The following is a 20,782-nucleotide window of genomic DNA, read 5'->3' on the forward strand; positions in this document are numbered from 1 at the left end:
AATGTGGTGGCTGGAATAAACTCTACCAGGCAGGCCTTATCTGAGCCCATGTGTCTGCCCACAGGGTTTACTGGGCTTCTGGAAAAGGAGCCAAGACTTCTGAAGGGAGGAGAAGGGAAGAACAAAACAGCTCCTGGAAAGAATGTTCCTCTCTCTTTTCTTTTTTTTTCTCTCCATCTTGCAAAAAGGTAGAAAGAACAATACCAGCCAGCCAAAAGCTCATTAATGCACTTGACCTTCCAAAAGAAAATTAATTCCAACTTCACACCTACCGGCTGTGCTGCTCGGCTTTGTCAAAACGTTGGCATCATTAGAGAGGAGATGACATGGCTTGAGGGGACAAAGAGTCTGCCACCTCCCCATGCTAGGCTGAGTTAGCAGGAGCTGGCAGGAAGCACGCAGAGGCGCCCGCCCTGTCAGCTTTTCACTGTGGATTAGGCTTCCTTCTGTTGGCTCTGGAAATTGTTATCACTGTCGAGCTGCCCCGATGATTCTTACCAGGCTCCCTGACAGCACAAGCCTGCAGAGGGGTAGCCTTCCTGGGGGCTTATGCTGGAAGGCTAGCAGACCGTGCGTGTGTGTGTGCATGTGTGTGTGTGCATCTGCATGTGCCTGTACGTCTGTGGGCGTGTGGGAGTATGTGTGTGTGAATTTGGGCATTTGTGACTGGGGAGTGTGTGTGTGTGTGTACTAGTCAGGCTTCTCTAATGAGACAGAACTAATAGGATAGATGTATATATGAAGGGAGGTTTATTAGGAGAATTGACTCACACAATCACAAGGTGAGGTCCCACAATAAGCCATCTGCAAGCTGAGGAGCCAGGAAGCCAGTGTGAGTCCCAAAACCTCAAAAGTAGGGAAGCCGACAGTGCAGCCTTCAGTCTGTGGCTGAGGGCCTGAAAGCCCCTGGCAAACCACTGGTGTAAGTCCAAGAGTCCAAAAGCCGAAGAACTTGGAGTCTGAAGTTCAAGGTCAGGAAGTGTCCAGCACAGGAGAAAGATGGAGGCCAGAAGACTCAGCCATTCTAATCCTTCCACGTTCCTCTGCCTGCTTTTATTCTAGCTCTGCTGGAGGCTTATTAGATGGTACCCATTCAGATTGAGGGCAGGTCTGCCTCTCCCAATCCACCGACTCAACTGTTAATCTTCTTTGGCAACACTCTCACAGACACACCCAGGAACAATACATTGCATCCTTCAATCAAGTTGACACTCAATATTAACCATCACAGCGTGTGTATAGTGTGTCTATGTGTGAATATGAGCACGAGGTATGGTATGTATGAGGTCTCAGGCTGGGCCAGTGTGCGTATGTGCGTGCTTATGTACAGGTAAATGCTTTTGCACACATACATGTGCATTTTTGTATGGATGCGTGAGTGAGCTTGTATGCATGTATGTGTGTATATATATTTGGGCAGAATGTACATGCCATCGTGTGCATTTATAGGTATGTGTGCTTTGCCAAGTACATACATGTGTGTAATCTATGTAAGGTAACTCATGTGTATGCATGTTTAGGATGTTTGTGCTCATGTAAGTGTGTAATTGTAAATGTTTTGAGTCTGTGCACACATGAGTGTGTGTGAGTGTGTGTTGTTATGTGCGCATGTCCACACTCATGTATATGAGGTTGTTTACAGTGCTACTTTTGTCCTCCCCACAAAATCTCAGGGCATACTTGGCCACCAGCAAATCATAGACACCAAACTCCCATCCTTTTATTTAATGACCTTGATAGTTGATTATTTATAAATTATGGTAGTTATTATGACAAAATGCAGAACTTTTTGGACTTCTGGACTCTTATTATTTTGATTTTAAATGATTATTTTGAAGTTTATAAGACTTGGAGAGATCACTATCTTTTCATTGTTTGGGGCCTCTAAATATCTCAATCCAGCCTTAATTTACATGTAGGCCATAATACATTGCACATGGAAGTGCATGTGTGTTTGTGTGTGTGTGTGTGTGTGAGAGAGAGAGAGAGAGAGAGAGAGCATATTTGTGTATTCAAATGAACAGTAAGTCCCTATATATGAGAGCAAAGGCAAGTAGTTCTCCATACACATTCTTGGCCAGGCTTTAGTTTAATGAAAAAATATACACAGAGCTTCATCTGGATCAAGTACCATTTTAGGTGCTGGGGAGAGAGATTTGAGAAAGCAGCTCCTGCTCTTGGAGAGGGTTCCTCATTTTTGCCAAATCTAAATATCTGATGCAGGTCTTCATGGCTCTGGGTGGAGATGGATTCTGATAACATGCTCAGGCTCAGGAAAAAGAGGCCACATTTGATTAGTGATGTCTGCCACAGACACAGGATGTGGAGATTGCAGCAAGTATGTCATTTATTTGCCAGAGTCAGAATATCACGCCCCAAATGACTCTTTGTGGTCCTGTATTCAATTTCTTCACTTTATAGCTGGAGAAATTCTTGGTAGAAAAAGAAAGGAAGTTGTTTAAAGGAGGGCTGAGCCTAGAGTGAGGGAAGCAAGGAGCCTAGCATGCAAAATTTAAGGAGGCACTCACATTCAGGCCTGTGAAAATGCCAGCCCTTCACTTACACGACCCTGAGAATAAGCACCTCCTTAAATTTTGTGCCCTAAGCGTCTCATTTGTCTAATGTTAGTTCTGGCTCTGGTTCAAAGTTATCTTTTCAAAAGTCACCACATACTCTATTAGGAAGAATCACTGCCTCTTTACAGAAAGTTCAGTGCCTTTATTTGCTAACACTCATTTGGTTAAAAGTAATAGAAATCAACTGAAGCTTGAGAAAAATGGGACTGGAATGTCTCATAGAACCACAGAGCAGATGTTAAGGTAGGGAAAAGAAAGGCCTAGAACTGGGACCCTGCGGAAATTTCTCTCTCCATCTCCTGCACTTGCTTCTTTCTTCTTTCTAGGCTGAAGGGCTTCCCTTGCTCCATCAGTTCCAAATTCTGAGTGTTTAGGAAAACTTACTTTTCTTACCTATAAGGTAAAACACTGTTTCTCACTTTCTGGCTGTCTTACCTCATAGGGCTTTAAAGAATAATGTATATAAACCCCTCAAGTGGCTGACAGGGAGTAAGTGCTCAATATATCTTGGCTATCCTCACTCTCATCACCATTATCATTATCATCACTACCATCATCATCATCATCACCACCACTACCATTACCACCATCATGACTATAATAAACATCATCATCACCATCACCACAATCATCATTATATAATCATCATTACCATCACCACCATCATCACCATCAGCATCATCACCATCACTACCACCATCGTCATCACCATCAGCATCGTCACTGCCATAACCATCATCATTACCATCAGCATCGTCACTGCCATAACCATCATCATTACTATCAGCATCATTACCACCATAACCATCATCATCACCACCATAACCATCATCATCACGATCAGCATCCTCACCATCACTATCACCACCATCATCACCATCAGCATCATCACCACCATAACCATCATCATCACCATCAGCATCATCACCACCATATCCATCATCATCACTATCATCACCATTATCACCCATCACCATCACCATCAGCATCACCCTCATCATCGCTACTACCACCACTACTACCACGATCATCACTATCATTATTACCACCATCCCCATCATCATCATTTCACATTCCTTGCTCATGTGGGCTTGGAAATATTGGGGAATACTCCCCCGTACTTCCATTTACCACATGGCATATTTCCAACTTTATGGAAACATTGACTTCCTCCTGCAATGCCCATCCCAAATTCCTTCGAAAGGCACTCTGATTGGCATTAGAAACGGCTAATTATGATCTAATCAACTATGGCCATGTTGGGTACAGGTATTCAGGGAGGCTATTTCTAATAGAATGGTGCAGTGTAGTAAAGGGATGAACAAGGCATATACCCCCAAAGTGGCCTAAGTTCTTAAATATTCCTTGGTTTGGTTTTATTGGAACACAACCAAAGAGGGTGGAGAGTTCTTCTGTGCTATTTTGACCTGTTTTCAATTTATCCCCTCAACTGTTGAAGACCCTAAAAATGGTTCAATCTTCTCTACAATTGGGCTTTCCTGGTCCCAGGTTTTGAAGTTCAAGAAAAGCTGCAATTAGTTCACAGTTTGTTCTGATCTAGTAAATGCCACTGAGCCCACTGGACCCAGAATAGGTAGGTTTTGTGGTGCGTGGGTAGCAGGGGTGAGGAGACAGCAGGAACAGGAAAATTCTAAAACTTGGAGTAATTATGAATCATGATGGAGGTAGAGAGAAGAGAGACCTAAAATTCCAAGTAGAATAGGAGCCCAGAAAGGGAAGATAGCAGCAGAATATAGAAGGGAGTCTGGAGTATAGCACTATTGTCTACTGGAGGAGGAGGAGAAGAAGGACAGGGAGGAGGAGGGGGAGGAAGAGGAGAAAGAGGAGGAGGAGGAAAAGAAGGAGGAGAGGAGGAAAGGAGAGCAAGGAGGGGAAGAAGAAGGGCAAGAAGGAGAAGGGAGAAGGGAAGGAGGAGGGGGAGGAAGGGAAGAAGAAAAAGGAGAAGGTGGAGATAAACAGGCAGTGGTAGTATTGGATGAAAAAGAATGAAAATGGGCCGTGCACAATGAAATCCCAGCACTTTGGGAGGCTGAGATGGGTGGATCACTTGAGGTCAGGAGTTTGAGACCAGCCTTACCAACATGGTGAAACTCTATCTCTACTAAAAATACAAAAATTAGCTGGGTGTCATGGTAGGCACCTGTATTCCCAGCTGCTCAGGAGACTGAGGCAGCAGAATCGCTTGAACCTGGGAGGCGGAGGTTGCAGTGAGCCGAGATCGCGCCACTGCACTCCAGCCTGGGTGACAGAGCAAGACCGTGTCTCAAAAAAAAAAAAAAAAAAAAAAAAAGAATGAAAATGGTAATGATGATGAAGATGAAAATGATATTTCTGAGGGCTGCCGAGCTTCAGGGAAGCCAAGGTCTAGCTCACACATCCTTCTGAAACTCGCCTTCTCTCCCTCATTATGCCCTAACCTACAATGCACACCTGCCCTCTACCCCACCCCCCAGCTTTCCCAGGACAAGAAGCAAAGAAAAGCGATTGGGATCCCCCAACAATAATTCCAGAGTTCTGGTTCAAAGGAGGGTGGTCAGGTTTGGAGAGCTCTGCCCTGAGGTAGAAAGGGGAGGTTGAGAGCAGCTGGTGAATAATTGATCCGTGTGGCTGGGCGGAGGAAATTGCTGATCCCATATCACCAGGCCCTGGAGGTGGGGATGGGGCCCCCATGACACAGGATTGAAAAATACATTAGCAGCTTTGCCTCTAGTACTGACATAAATATATCTGACTTCTCCCTTTATCCATGAAAGTCATGGAGATGATAATTAAACTAACTCCTGTGTATTCAAAAATTACCAAATTTCCAGGTGCTATGCCCAGCTTTTACCTATCTTTTAATTCTCATGTGAACACTATGAGGAAGTTATTTTTATTAAGTAGAATCTTATGAAATAGCAAATATTCAAAGTTTTTTAAAGTATGAAGCAGATAATCATATATAGTACTTACTACTATTAGGAGGAGGAGGAGGAGTTGAATCTCAGAGAGATGAAATAACTTACTCAAAGTTACCTTTTTCTAGCATTAGGATAAACTCCTAACCATGATGGGAAGTTCATGTCTTCTGAATATTCATTACCTCCCCAGCCTCATTTTACAGGTACTTTCCTCTCTCATCTTCTCTGAGCCTCAGTTTCCTCACTTGTAAACTGAGGATGGTAACCATCCACTGAAGCTGACATTTATCGAGCATTTAGTATACAGCAGACACAGTGCTAAGCATTCAGCCCCTATCACCTAATTTTTTGCTCCTAGCCCCTCTCTGATATGGATGTTATTCCAAGCTTCATTCTTCTAGGGTGTGAGGAGGTCTAATTCAGTGGAAACATGCACAGGTCTGAGCTCAGGTTCTGCACATAGCAGAAGTTAATGTTACTCTTATGATTGTAATCCCTCTTGCATGAGCCACAGCCTCTGAACAGCAGGGCAGAGTGTAGCCTGTTACCAGGACTTAGCTCACCTTCCTCCTAGCCCATTGTGAATGCTTGTAAGTCAAGAAGAGGTACCACATTCCCAGGAAATCAAAGGCAGGAAAGGAACTTAAGACTTTCTGATTTCTTATTATGGAACATCAAGACATATGTCTTGCTAATAGAAATGACTCTTTATGGTGAGCGTGATGAGCATGATGAGCTGTTATTCCACATCCTCTTCCTGAAGCATGTGAAGGACAGTGAAAGGAGGTGACTAGCTTGATGAAAAAGCTTGTCCCGGCTGGGCGCAATGGCTCACACCTGTAATCCCAGCACTGTGGGAGGCAGAGATGGGTGGATCACTTGAGGTCAGGAGTTCAAGACCAGCCTGGTCAAGGTGGAAAAACCCTGTCTCTACTAAAAATACAAAAATTAGCCAGGTGTGGTGGCATATACCAGTAATCCCAGCTACTTGGGAGGCTGAGGCATGAGAATTGCTTGAACCTGGGAGGTGGAGGTTGCAGTAAGCCAAGATCGCACTACCGCAGTGGGCAACAGAGCCAGACTCCATCTCAAAAAAAACAAAAAACAAAAAACTTGTCCTACAGTGTTATTTTGATCACCTTTTTCTATTGTTGGTTCTTTGGCTAAACCATTCATACACTAACCACTTACTGAGTGCCTACCATAGGTCAGTCCGTGTTCTAGGTGTATATAGTGGACCCTGATCTCACCAACCTCCTGTTTTGTGCATTCCTAGGTCTTCAACTCATTGAAAACTGCAGCCTGAGACAAGCATCCTAGGAGCTGCTCTTCCACCAGGAGCTAGTCCAGCTCTGATGATTGAATTAGATTAAATTGCACTGAGAAGAATTGCACTGAGTTGCCCTGAGATAGAAATGGGAAATGAAAGTGCAGGTGGGGACTAGGATACTGTGAAGACATACTCTGACTTCCAGAATCCCGCTAAGCTCACAGCCAGGCACATTGTAGGCATATTGCAAGATGCTCAGAAAATGTGTGTCAGATGGAAGGGAATGGGAGCGCAGAAGTTCAGCATGGCCATGCTCATTCACATTTATTCCCAAGTCTGGCTCAGGTTTGGATGGGGGAGAGGTAGAGCCTGTTTTTATTTGCTGTCGGTTTGGTTTGATTTTCACTGTATCAACTTCCCTGGAAGGGAAGGGGCCCCTCAGGTGAATGGCGAGGAACCCCAGATCAGGCCTGGCTTATATTCTCATAACTTTCTCATATTACTGGCTCTGGATACTGCTGCACAGGCCGCCTCATTGTGTAAAAGTCCCCCAAGAATCCTGGTGCACCCTCCGACCATCCTAACTCCCCACAAGATGACCGCCTTCCCAAGCATAACAGCCAGGAATTCCCCGACGTGAGTGACCCCAAGCACATAAAAGGTGCACAAAGGCAAAAAAATAATAGCTTTCCTTTATTTCACACACCGCCCGCAACGCAACGCCATAAAGCATTTGATTTAGGATATTAAATGCCGCTGGTGATGAGAACGTCATGTAAGATTTGCTTTGCGACTTCTTTCTTCTCAAACTGTCATTAAAAATGATTTATAGGTGAACCCAAGTCTGAGAAACAACATGATTAGAATCAAGGGTTTGGGAAGGGGATGGTGTGGGGATCAGATTTCCAGGGCAGCCCCACTATCCAGTCTCAGAGACGGAAAAGGCTGAGTGTGAGACCCAACCGCTAACGATTTCAAAGGTAAGTGCACATGCACGGAAGGAACACGTGTTCCTTGCTGAGATGAAAACAATGAGGCCTTGTCAGACATTTAAACTGCTGGTTTCAAAAGGTGGATTCTGGAGGAGGGCCGGGCTGGAGAACGCTTCTTCTGCAGTAGCTGACTTTGTCCAGTAGCAGTCTGGCTGCTTTCAAACTAGACTGGAAATCAGGGGTGTTGTCGGACTTTACAATAATAAAAATGTAAAGGTCCAGTCCCATGCTTTACCTTTATTATTTGCCTGACACTTGGGACAGCAACCCTAGGTGTCCAATATTTAATATTATTGGTAACATTCCTGTTTTACAGATGAGGAAACTGAGACTCAGAGAAGTACAGTGTTTTGCTCACTGTCATACAACTAGAGTGAGGGGTGGAGCCAGCCAGGATTTGAACCCAGGCAGCTGAGCATCAGCGCCCACAGGTTTAAACCCATTCTTCTCCATTGAGTCCCAGCTTCTGACTAAAAGTCACTCTAATTGCTCCTCTGCTTCATCTTGCCCATATCTGTCCCCTTAAGAAAATTGCCATTCATTAAGAACCCACTGTAGGCCAGATATTCTGCAGAACGCTTGCTATGTTATACTTAATCCTCATCTATTACCCTGCAAGACTGAAGATGTATTTTGCTCACTCAACAGAAAATTGAGGTCTAAGGTCACACTGCCAGTAGGCAGGGAATGGAACCAAGTTGGCCGGATTCTAAAACAAATCTGCTCATAGTAAAACCATACTATGCAAAACCACACACAAGCACCTTTTTTTGGGGTCTGAGAGTAAGTGTGACCCTCTGGATTGGAGGCTCCTGGACTCATAAAAGGATCTAGACTTTAGGGCAGGCTGGAGGTTGCTGGAGACTCTGGGGCCTGACCTAAATGTTTAGGTCTGACCTAAATGTAAGACCAGAACCTGTAAAACTAACTAGAAGAGAAAATAGGCAAAAAGCTCCTCAACATTGGTCTTGGGAATGATTTTTTGAATATCACAACAAAAGTTAAGTCTACAAAAGCAAAAATAACTAAATGGGACTACATCAAACTGAAAATCTTGTGCATCACAAACAGAACAAGCCAAAAAAAAAAGACAACTGGGAAAAATACTTGCAAGGCACATATTTGATAAGGGGTAAATATTCAAAATTTATAAAGAATGCGCTTACAACTCAACAGCAGAAAAACAAATAACCCAATTAAAAAGTTGACAGAGGACCTAAACAGACATTTCTCCAAAGGAGACAGAAAAACGTCCAACAAGTATATGAAAAAGTGCTCGACATCACGAATCGTAAGGGAAATGCAAATGAAAACCACTACGAGATACGACCTCTTCACACTTGTAAGGATAGCTTTAGAGACAAGAGATAACAAATGTTGACGATAGTGTAGAGAAAAATGAACTCAGCACATTGTCAGTGGGAAGGTAGATTGGTAGAGCCATTATGGAAAACAGTGTGGAAGTTCCTAAAGAAATTCAATAGAACTATCATATACCCAGAAAACCCTCTTCTGGGCATATACCCAAAAGAAATGAAATCACCACCTTGTAAAGATATCTGCACTCCCATGTTCATTGCAGAATTATTCACAATAGCCAAGATATGGAAAAGACATACATGCCCATCAATGAACAAATGGATAAAGGAAATGTGATAAACATTTATAGCCAATGAAATACTATTCAGCCTTTAAAAGAAAGGAGATCCTGCCATTTGCCACAACATGGATGAAACTGGAGAAAATTATGTTAAGTGGAAAAAGCCAAGCAGAGAAAGAAAAATATTACATGATCTCACTTATTGTGGGATATAAAAGAAAGAGCTCAAATACAGAGAAAGAATGAAACAATGGTTACTGGGGTGGGGTCAGGAGGAAAGAGGGAGATGTAGGTCAAAAGATTCAAAATAGTAGGCACATAGAATGAATAAGTCTAGAAATCCAACGTACAACATGAGGACAAAGTTAATAAAATTATATTCTGTTCATGATTTGTGTTCAGTAAGTAGGTTTTAGATGCTCTCATCACAAAAATGTAACTATGTGAGATGGTAGATATGCAAATCTGCTTCACTACTGTAATCATTTTACTATCTATGTGAATCCCCCAATAACATATTACAAATCTCAAATATACAAAACAATAATTGTTTTAAAAAAAGACTAATCTGAATTCACGACAGTCTTCATCCCATGCTTTCTAGTCTTATGTAGTGATGTTTACCTTTCCTTTGAATTGAAAGTGATAGAGAGGCAGGAACGAGTCTGTCTTGTTCCCTGCTGCATCTCCAGAACCCAACATGCAGACATATTGCATGTCCTGGAAAATGTTTGTTGAATGAGCGGAAAAGATAGGAATGATGAAAGAAGAAAACGGTAGAAAAAACAGGAAAGAGAAAAAGAGGAGAAAAACGATTCATTTGAGATTGCAAATGGGAGAATCTAGCCATAGACTTGTTTTGTGTGTAGTGTTTTTGTCAGTCATGATAAGCTAGATTACGCTGCAGTAACAAACAGCTCCTAAATTTTAGAAGCATAAATAGAAAACATTTATTTATTGCTCATGCTACATGTTCATTATGTTCCTGCTGGTGAAGTCAGTGGGGTTACATTGTTTATTTGTTATTATAATAACTCAAGATCCTAGCTGGAGGCCTTATCTCTATATGTGTTTCCATAGTGAATAAGGCAATGGGAAGAGTCTGGGTGGATGGTGCAATGGTTTTTATAGTTTCCACCTGGAAGTGATGAGTGTCACTTCTGCTGACATCTTACTGACCAAAGCAAGACCCGTGGTCATGCTTAACTTCAAGGGGACAGGGAAAGTGTGATTCTATCTTGCTCCTTGGCAGGGTCAGTTCTGGAATTACTCAGTAAATAGCACCAGTGAAAACCACAGCGTTTAAATATTCTTTAATTAGTTGCCAATACTTAATGACTAAATATTCTGTGTAAATATAGATGTCTGGCTTCTCTGCACAGAATTGGGAGATCTGGCAACATGAACCCATTGGCGCCAAGCAGGGGTTGCCTTTCAGAAGAAGCGTGCACTCTCAAGTTCACTGCTGGCCCCACCTGGCCCACTTCACTCATTTTGGTTTGGTGCCTGGCTCCTAAGAGCATTTGGTGTGCAGAGTCCTGGTTTAGAAGGATGAAAGGAGCCACTCTGTGTTGGCTCAGGCATTTTGTTCCCAACACCAGATGCACTTGTAATCTATTCCCATCCCAGAGATGAGTAATGCATGCCGTAGAAGTGCCTTGTGCAGACCTGGGATCAGGCGTGCTGGCTGGAGCACTCAGGCTTGTTGGCAACAGTGGGATTGTGTAAGCCCACTTAGGGAGTATTTAAGGGATTCACGGTGTGGGGGAGGGAGTGTGAGTGTGTAGGAGGAATAGCAGAGCCCATGCCCCTGGTGAGGGATGCCCAGGCTGATGGGGGTGAAGGCCGGCAGCTGCATCTCCTGGGAAGTCTCTTATTCCATTTGAACTTGCACTGCCCACACAATTCCTCTGGAATCTCAGCATCTCTGTCTGGAGGAGGCATGGGAACCCGCCTATGCCACCAGCAGCTTGGGTTAAGATGATGGTTTGTTCTCAGTTGTGACCTAAGCCCAACAAGGTGTGGAAGGACTATGATGAGAAGGTGTAAGGTTGTACTCACTAAAACCAAGTGTTTCAGTCAGGTTAGGTTAGATTCTGTCGCAGTAACAAACAATCCCAGAATTTCTGTGACTTTAAACATCTAGAGGTTATTCTCACTCACTGTTTTCACTCACTCTACACACCAATCTTGAGTCAGCAGGGCGACTCTACTCAGATACCAAGGAGAATGGATCAGCCAACATCTTAAGTAATCAGTCTCCATTCTAGAGCAAGAGAGCTCAGCAGGGTGTCACATTGGTCCTCCAATACTCTCACCCAGAGGTGACACATCCCTTACACTCCAACTCGTTGTGTGAAACTAATTGTATGCAGCTCTTGAGCATCAGGGGGTCAGGAATTTCAGAGAAGCAGAAATATTTGGTCAACAGAATTAGTGAATGACTGCCATATTGAAAGAGGAATCCACTGGTTTTATCAACAGAATTCTGTAAATATAAAGATTCTGGTCAGAGGGGGTGGCTGATGCCTGTAATCCCAACACTTTGGGAGGCCGAGGTGGGAGGATAACTGGAGGTCAGGAGTTTGAGACCAGTGTGGCCAACATGATGAAACCCCATCTCTTCTCAAAATACAAAAATTAGCCAGGCATGGTGGTGCACACCTGTAATCCCAGCTATGTAGGAGGCTGAGGCAGGAGAATCGGTTAAATCTGGGAGGCAGAGTTTGCAGTGAATCAAGATTGCACCACTGCACTTCAGCCTGGGCCACAAAGCAAGACTCCATCTCAACAAAAATAATAATGATAATATAAAAAATAAAATAAAATAAATATAAAGATTCTATTAGACATGGACTTCATTGTCATCAGTAATTCAAAGCACCAATCTTCAAGGTTCATGGCCTTGGTACTTGCCATACCTTTTGACCAGGACACCATTTCTTCTGCTCTCTGGTTTGCTTCTTCTCAGCTCAACTACCATTGCCGTGCACAGGTCTTCCCTGACCACCTGCTCTATCTAATATCATCCTCCCCATTCCCCAGTCATTCTATAATATGCCATTTTTGAAAATTCTTCTTCCTTTTATCACTGTCTAGAATAATCTTTTATTTTAAAGATTCTATGTGTATGTGCTTGTATTTATTTATTTATTGTCCTTATTCAGCCTCCCACTTCAGAATGCCAACACCATCTGAGCAGGCACCATTGATCACCTGCATAGCTATATTCACACCATCTTGGACAGCGATAGTACATAGTAGGTGTTCAACAGATTTGGATGAAGTATACATGAAATAAATATATGCTCAGCAAATATTCATGAATGAACATATCCATGATACAACCGGTTTAATGAGTACTGTGTGCAGCTGGTTCTCCTACTTTTTAACCCTCCTATATCCACTTTACTAGGTAGGCACTAGGATCAGTCCCATTTTGCAGAGGGGAAACCTGAAGCTCAAAGAGGTGAAATGAATTAGCTGAAGCCAGAACTAGGAAATGGCAGAGTCAATATTTAAGTCAGAGTTTGCCAAAGCATATGCCATTTCTGCTGGGCTACACTGGCCCTCAAAGAGCAGCTATTGATGAGGCCTCCTGAGTGCAAGATGTGGGGCCAAGTGCTAAGGGGAGAGGATAAGGGCATATTCATGGTCCTTGTCTTCTCCACAGAATCTCACTTTACTCATTGATACGGTTTGGCTCTGTGTCCCCACCACTCAAATCTCATCTTGAATTGTAATCCCCACATGTTGGAGGAGGGGCCTGGCGGGAGGTGACTGAATCATGGGGGCAGACTTCCCCCTTGCTGTTCTCGTGATAGTGAGTGAGTTCCCATGAGATCTGATGGTTTAAAAATGTGTGGAGCTTCCTTCTTTGCACTCTCTTTCTCTCCTGCTCAGCCATGGTAAGACATGCTTGCTCCCCCTTTGCCTTCTGCCACGATTGTAAGTTTCCTGAGGCCTCCCATCCATGCTTCCTGTTAAGCCTGCAGAACTGTGAGTCCATTAAACCTCTCTTCTTCATAAATTACCCAGTCTCAGGTAGCTCTTTATAGCAATGTGAGAACAAACTAATACATTAGCCTAGGATTTCAATGATTCCATTTATTTAATATTTGATTTACAAGTTGAAGTGAGTTGAATGGTGGTTCCTGAAAACAAGATGTGTCTATAGCCTAGCCTTGAGAAAGCATTTGGGAAAAGGGTCTTTGCAGATGTAATTAAGTTAAGGATCTCAAGATTAGATTATCCTGGATACCTCAGGTGGGCCCTAAATCCAATGACAAGTGTCCTTATAAGAGACAGAAGACACAGACAAAGAGGAGAAAAAGACATGACAATGGAGGCAGAAATTAGACTTATGTACCCATAAACCAAGGAATGCCTGTAGCCATCAGAAGCTAGAAGAGGCAAAAATGATTCTATTTGCTGCAACACCTTGATTTTTAGACTTCTGGCCTCCAGACTCTGAGAGATTACATTTCTGCTGTTTTAAGCCACCAAGTTTATGGCAATTTTTTTACAGAAGCCACAGGAAATTAATTACAGGTTCATAGCCAGGGAATTTTTAAAATGTGTATTTTGGACCTAGGATTGGGTGCCCCTGCCCCTTGCCCACCTCCTTAGATGTCCCTGTTTCATGCTCACTCAAGTCTGACTTCATATGCCTCCATACAAGGCCAGAACCTAATAACGACCTTGGTATCTCCTTACCTCAAAGCCTTTTCTAACCCTCCCTGATGGTTTATACACACTCCCTCCCAAGTGCCTGTGCTGTCTTTGAGGTCTGGCTCTGAGTGGCAGTACAAGATACAAGTGAAGTGCAAGGGGCTCTGTAAATGGAAGTTGCTTTACATCCCAGCTCTGCCACTGAGTCTTGCTTTCCTTTTCTGTAGAAATGGCATATTAGCAACTTCATAGGATAGAGATGAGGCTTAAATGGGAAAGTATATTTTAAACTCTAAGTAAAATGCTGGTACTCAATACATGCTAGTAATATTGGCAAAATGGAACCAATTTGAGAAATATAATTATTGAAAAGCTACATTAACTCATCTAGCTCAATTTAGTTTAATAAACTCTGTTGTGATGCTGTGGGAATGCACAGCTGGGTGGGATAGAGTGTGTGCTCTGGAAGAAATGGCTAAGGAGTTCATCATAAAATGCAGTTATGCTGCATTTTAATCCAGTTATGCTGGGTTAACCAGTACTGCCAAATGAAGGGTAAGGGCCTTGCCAAAATACTAAAATGGCCTGTTTTGTGGGAGGGATGAGGTGGGGGAGAATCTGCATTAAAGTCCAGTTCAGGAAAAAAAGAAAGGGCCACATCTTAGACCAAGCCCCATAAGAAGCATATAGAGAGTAAAAGTACTTCCATATTTCCGTTCAACAAACCGGATGGTAAGAAATGTAAAATCAAACCTATTACAAAAAGACAGAAGAAAAACATTTAAATGGCTGTTTTCATCTACGTGCAGCATGACATTGATGAAAATGTGAATTACAGTTGCTAAAAGGAGGATCTTTCACCAAGAGATGTCTTTGGTTACACGGTTCAACATCTTATTTTGGTCCAACACTAAAAGAAAGTCCATGTGACATGTCATCGTCTTGATCAGTCTTTGAAAATTAATGCCTGAACCAAAGGCTGTCAAAAGGCCCTCCTTTTCTTTTGGCCTTTAAAAGAAATATATTAATTTGCACATCACGTCATTTCTCAGCATTCCGGCTGCCATCTACCATTCTCCATTGGAAAAATAATTCTCTAGAATGCCCACAAGTGTGAGCGTCACTGTCATTTCTTGTTGATTTTTTTTTTGTCCCCGGCGGTTCATGTCCTGGATGTGTAATATGAATTTAGTGCCTTCTTATTAATAAAACCAGACGTCAACATGTGGCAGCTTCAATTCCAACCATCCTTCTGCACTACTCAAAGATGCCTTCCACTCTCCCGACTGGTTCTCAAGTGACCCTAAACCTAATTAACCTGAATTCCATCTCTCATCTCCCCAGGGAAAGGAGAAGCATGCCAGCCCTTCATCTTCCCCATTCCTCTTCCTCTCCACAAACTGGGACAAACTCTCTAGAGAAATCCTTTTCTTGTCCCAGGCACTGCAATCACCGGTTTCCTCAGAGTTCTGCCTGAAATGATGGGGTGTGTTTTTCATTTGAAAAGAGTCCACATCTGGGACTCACTTAACTTGATTTGGGAAGTCCTGTGTTTCTGATCCAAAAAAACAAAACAAAAAAAATTGCGAAAATAAGCCTGCATTTTTTTTTCTTCCAGTGTGGATTGATTTACTTCCGTTATACTTAGCTTGCAAGGAAAAAAGAAGAAGAGAGAGAGAACAATGAACAGTGAATCGACTTGGCTTCATGACCACCTTCCCTTGTTGGGTAACTAGGCCTTACATATGCGGACTGATTGAATTATTCCACTTCCACAGAGAGAGAGAAAGCAAGGACGAAATCTTCCTCCTGATTGCTGTCCCTTTGGGTTTCCTGCCCAGGAAAAATGGTGCAGGATGAAGGAGCAGCTATTAGAAACCACAAAGAAGCAAAACTAACTCATATATTTGGATTCAATCTTGGCTGGCTTGAATTACTAAGCTAAATAGTTGGAGCTTTATTCTGTAGTACTGGAGGCCCTTAAAGATATTTGGGTATAGAAAATATGCAGTGAATTCTAACCTCCAAACTCTACTGTTTACTGGGATATCTAAGTGATGGACCCAATATTAGAAAATCCAAGCATAAAAATTGGATATATGTGCATAATCTGGGGTGATGTGTAGAGATGATTATTTATATTATTAAACATTCATTTTTCCACATGAATACGCTATAATTCTTTTTTAAAAATAGCTAAACCCTCCACTTAAAACTTTAACCAATTTACAAAGAAATGAGTAATACATATTTTTATTATAGTTTTTTATAGCTAAACCTTCCACTTAATATTTTCTCTAATTAACAAAAAAGTTATATTCTTTTACTACAGTTTGTAGTAAAGCACTCTACTTAAAATTATATCGAATTTTCCAAAAATGAGTGATATATTTGTTTAATAAAAGTTTTCTAAATAGCTAAACCCTCTACTTAAAATTTTTATTAAATTTAAAAAAAATCAAGTGATGCATCTTTTTTCAAAATAAATTTGCCTAAATGTGGATGCATCTTTGAGTTACAGAAGTTGAATCTAACCTTTAATTAGAATTAGAAAAAAAAAAAAAAACCTGGGGAAATACCTTGTGTGTGAGAAAACACGCACACACACACTTTTGGATATAATCTGCGTGAATTGTGTATGTCAAAGTCTCTACACCCCAGAAAATCATAGCTTTGGATATGAAGCTTACATATCGCTATTGCACATATATTTCTATTGCACACAATAATTGTTTACATTTTTTATTATTATACAACAGAGAGGGTGGAGATAGGAGGGCTGGAGATTGCAACATTAGCCAAATCTGAATTCAAAACACATTTTCACCAGTTACTAGCTCTGCCATCTTGGGAAAATTATGTAATATCATACATAATAATAGTGTCTACTTTGTTGGGCCTTTTCCAGGATTAAATGAGTGAAGGTAATACCTGGTGCTTGATACGTTTTATAATTTATTATTTCAGGATCAAGATTATAATTAAATATGAGGAAATAAAATATTATAATGAAATAATGTATTTAAGCATTTAATACAATTCCTGGAACCCAATGAATATTCAACAACTTTTTAGGGCCCTAGCCAAAGAAACAATCAACCCAGTCATTCTTAAGTACATTGAATGAAAAACAAGGGTTACATCAGCTGAACAAACCTATAATCAGGACAGAAAACAGCAGAGTTTAAGCCCCTTCACCAAGGGAACTGAATTTTACTTTTGTGGCAGAACCTAAATTTCAAACTGAGTTAGATTGGCTTTGGGAAGAAAATCAAGCAGTTGTCTTGACATGAGGATTCTTCAACTGCCTCCAGTAGTGCTTTCAGCTAACACTGTTAAGTGCTCAATGTACGTCAGGCATTGCTCTAAACTCGTGACGTATGTTAATATTTAATGCTCACAAAAGCCCTATGAGGCTGATATTGTTATTAGCCCCATTTTACAGTTGAGAGCTCTGAGTCACAAAACAATTCATGTTGCCTAGTTAGCAGCAAAGCTGGGATAAACCCAGGTGCCTGCTCTTTATCATTACCTTTACTTCCTTTCATGTATCTATCTGCTCTGTGATATATTCTGGCAAAAGAAAGACCTTTATTCTACAGATAAAAGATGCAGATGCTGTAAAATTTGCATTCTAGGCAATTTATAGGGTGGTAAGAGAGATGAGAATGCAGCCTTGGAAGCCATTATGGTTGGTTGAAAGCACTTTGAAAAGCTGTTGCCCCACACCTGTCTGGTCGACCAATAGGAATGCTCCGTCCAGAATGGTGGCTACAATGCCCAATAGGAGAGATTCATACTGAATGACATCAAACTGGCCCAATAGGAAGGGTTTATATTGAATGGTATCAAATCAGTCCAATAGGAGTGCTGCCTATGAAACCGGGAAAGGCAATCCAATCCAGTTCTCCCTTTTAGAATTTGATTACTGAGGCCAGATGCGGTGGCTCACACCTTTAATCCCAGCACTTTGCCAGGCCAGGGTGGGCAGATCACTTGAGGTCGGGAGTTCAAGACCAGCCTGACCAACATGGCGAAAACCCGTTTCTACTAAAAATACAAAAATCAGCCAGCATGGTGGTATGCGCCTGTGTCTTTAACCCAGCTACTCCGGAGGCTGAGATAGGAGAGTCCCAGGAGGCAGAGGTTGCAGTGAGCTGAGATCGCGCCACTGCACCCCAGCTTGAGCGACAGAGTAAGACTCTGTCTCAAAAACAAACAAACAAACAAAAAAAACAACCACTTGATTACTGAATCCTAGATGTGTAAAAGGAAGGGTGCTTACTTGAGCTTAAATCGTTGTTGATAAAGACGCCGAGTTCCTGTTTCACCTCTCAGTTTGATTATTCAATAAATGTTGACTGGGGCCGCTATCTGGCCATTCACAAGGCCGGGGCTAGGCACAGGGAGGTGGGGATCAGTGAGCAAGACTGGGTTCCCACCCTCAGGGAGTTTGTAGTCTAATGGGAAAGACGTAAATTACAACCTTTTCAATTATGTAATTAGGTTTTGGACAAGTGCATTTGAGGAAGTCATCTTAGGTTGGCATGAAGTATAAATACTTAGAGGTGATATTCAAGATAGTTAACAATCAGAACAGTCTACCTACCAACAATTAGGACTGATGTGGGGCTTAAACAATTTACACACTGGTTGAAGGTGAGCTCCTTTTGGGTGGGACCAGGCAGGAGAGGATGGTGATGGTTTTCCTGAGGAATTGAGTTTACTTTTTTTTTTAATTAAACTTTTTATTTTTAGAGAAGTATAAAGTGTTAAACTAAACGTGGCCTGAGGATGCCCCTGTATCTTCAGTAATATACTACAACCTAATTTAGTATGTAAACAAACTGAAGCCTCATTAAAAGTATTTTATTTTTTATTTTTATTTTTGGTAATTGGCTGAGTCTCAGCCAATGGCAGCAGCCAACCTTCAGCCAATTGTCAGTGGCCAGCGGATCAGACTATATCCAAATAAGGCAACCAGGGAATTATAACCAGTTAAGCTGTTTCTCTGTCTCACTTATGTTGTCTGTTTGTGAATGCTTCCCGTCCATATTGTGGAGGAGAGTCCCATGAACTTCTTCTGGTTCTAAGGCCCGCCAGATTCACGAATGGTTCTGTGTTCAATTAAATGCTGTTAAATTTAATTCATCTGAAGTTTTATTTCTTTTAACAAGAGTCACATATAGTTCTAAGAAATAATATAGAGACATCCCTGTGTACCCATCACCAAGTTTCCCCATAACATCTTGCAAAACTATGGTACTTATCGCGTCCAAAGATTTCAGATATTTTTAAAAATAAAGTTGAAACTAAGTTTTGAATAGGTTATATATGCACATGAAACAAAAGCTAAAATTTACAAAAGGGGAGACAGGGAAAAAGTGGGTATTCTCCTGTGCCTTCCGGATACCTCGTTGTCCTCCCTGGAGTCAAATGTTGTTACAATTTTCTTGCCTATCTTTTCCCAAATACTTATAAATTTGCAAATATTATAATCCTCTATATGTATATATGTATGTATTTTTTCTCCATACAGTGAGCGCATATATCTGCAATTATGAATCTTGCCTGTTTTACTAAATATCTTGAAAAGATTATTTATTTATTTATTTATTTATTTATTGGTAAGAAATGAACCCTGGAGTTGAGTTTGAGAAACCTGAAAAAACAGGGTGGAAGAGCATTCTTGGCAGAAGGAGGAACATGAGCCAAGGTCCAGAAACAGAAAGAACACTGATTTTTCAAGAAAAAGGAAAGAGACTATTATGTCTGGAGGACAAAGAAGGAGGAGGAGAATGGCCGGGTAGATCACTGATTCTCAGGCCACTTTCTGAGGGACCATTGAACTTGCTTACATTCTCCAGGTGGCCTATACCCTGAGGCCCAGAGTCACTGTATGGCTGATGAGGACACTTCCCGCTGCAGGTCAGCTCCTCACTCCGTAGACCTGCCAGACGCAGGGAGGCTGCTTGTTCCTGAGGCCTGGGGAATAGAGCTGGCCAAGAGAATTGCTAGTTTTCCCAAAACCCACTTTCTTTCTTCAGCCCCGCCCTCAAGACTTTTTCCATGCCCTGCCTGTCTTCTCAGACAGTTAAGGACATGACAAAGAGCAATGATTAAGGACAGCAATTCTTGCCTTTTTGTTTTTTGCTTAATTTGAAAGAGACAGCAAGATGGGAAAAATGTGCCTCTGATTATGACCCCCCTGTGCTTCCTAAAAGCTTCTTTCTCAACTTTTAAGTCTCCTCAAGTTTCAAACCCTCTCCTTTTCTTTCCCCTGTTCTTTCTTCCTCTATTTAAACTAATCTACAAAAAGCTATAAAAAGCCTCTGACACTATAAATTCCCCTATAAACCCTGGTTTTATAGGTTTAATTGCCCCTTTTTACAGTGCTGCATGCCTGGGTCCTGAAACACTTTAGTTTTGCAGGACAAGTTCAAATTCATAGTAAGAGTCTGGGCCACCCTATGATGGGGTTTTGAACTCTGGCAGTCCACAAGGCAACTCGTTCTGGCCTTGGCTGAACAATTATTTTCTCAGGTAGCCCAGGACCAAAATGAGACATGTTTCTATGTGAGAAAATAGCCACATCCTCAGAGAATGCCACGTTCTCTAAAGTCTCCTGAAGCCCCAGAGTTAGTTCTGGTCAGAGAGAGTGCCCATAAAAGCAACATCAACAATGCCACAATCACCGTTTATCAAGTGCTAGTAACTGTGTAAAATGGATTTTACGTGCATAAACCTCACTA

Source organism: Homo sapiens, chromosome 12 (genome assembly GCF_000001405.40).
Source record: "Homo sapiens chromosome 12, GRCh38.p14 Primary Assembly".
Classification (NCBI taxonomy): domain Eukaryota; kingdom Metazoa; phylum Chordata; class Mammalia; order Primates; family Hominidae; genus Homo; species Homo sapiens.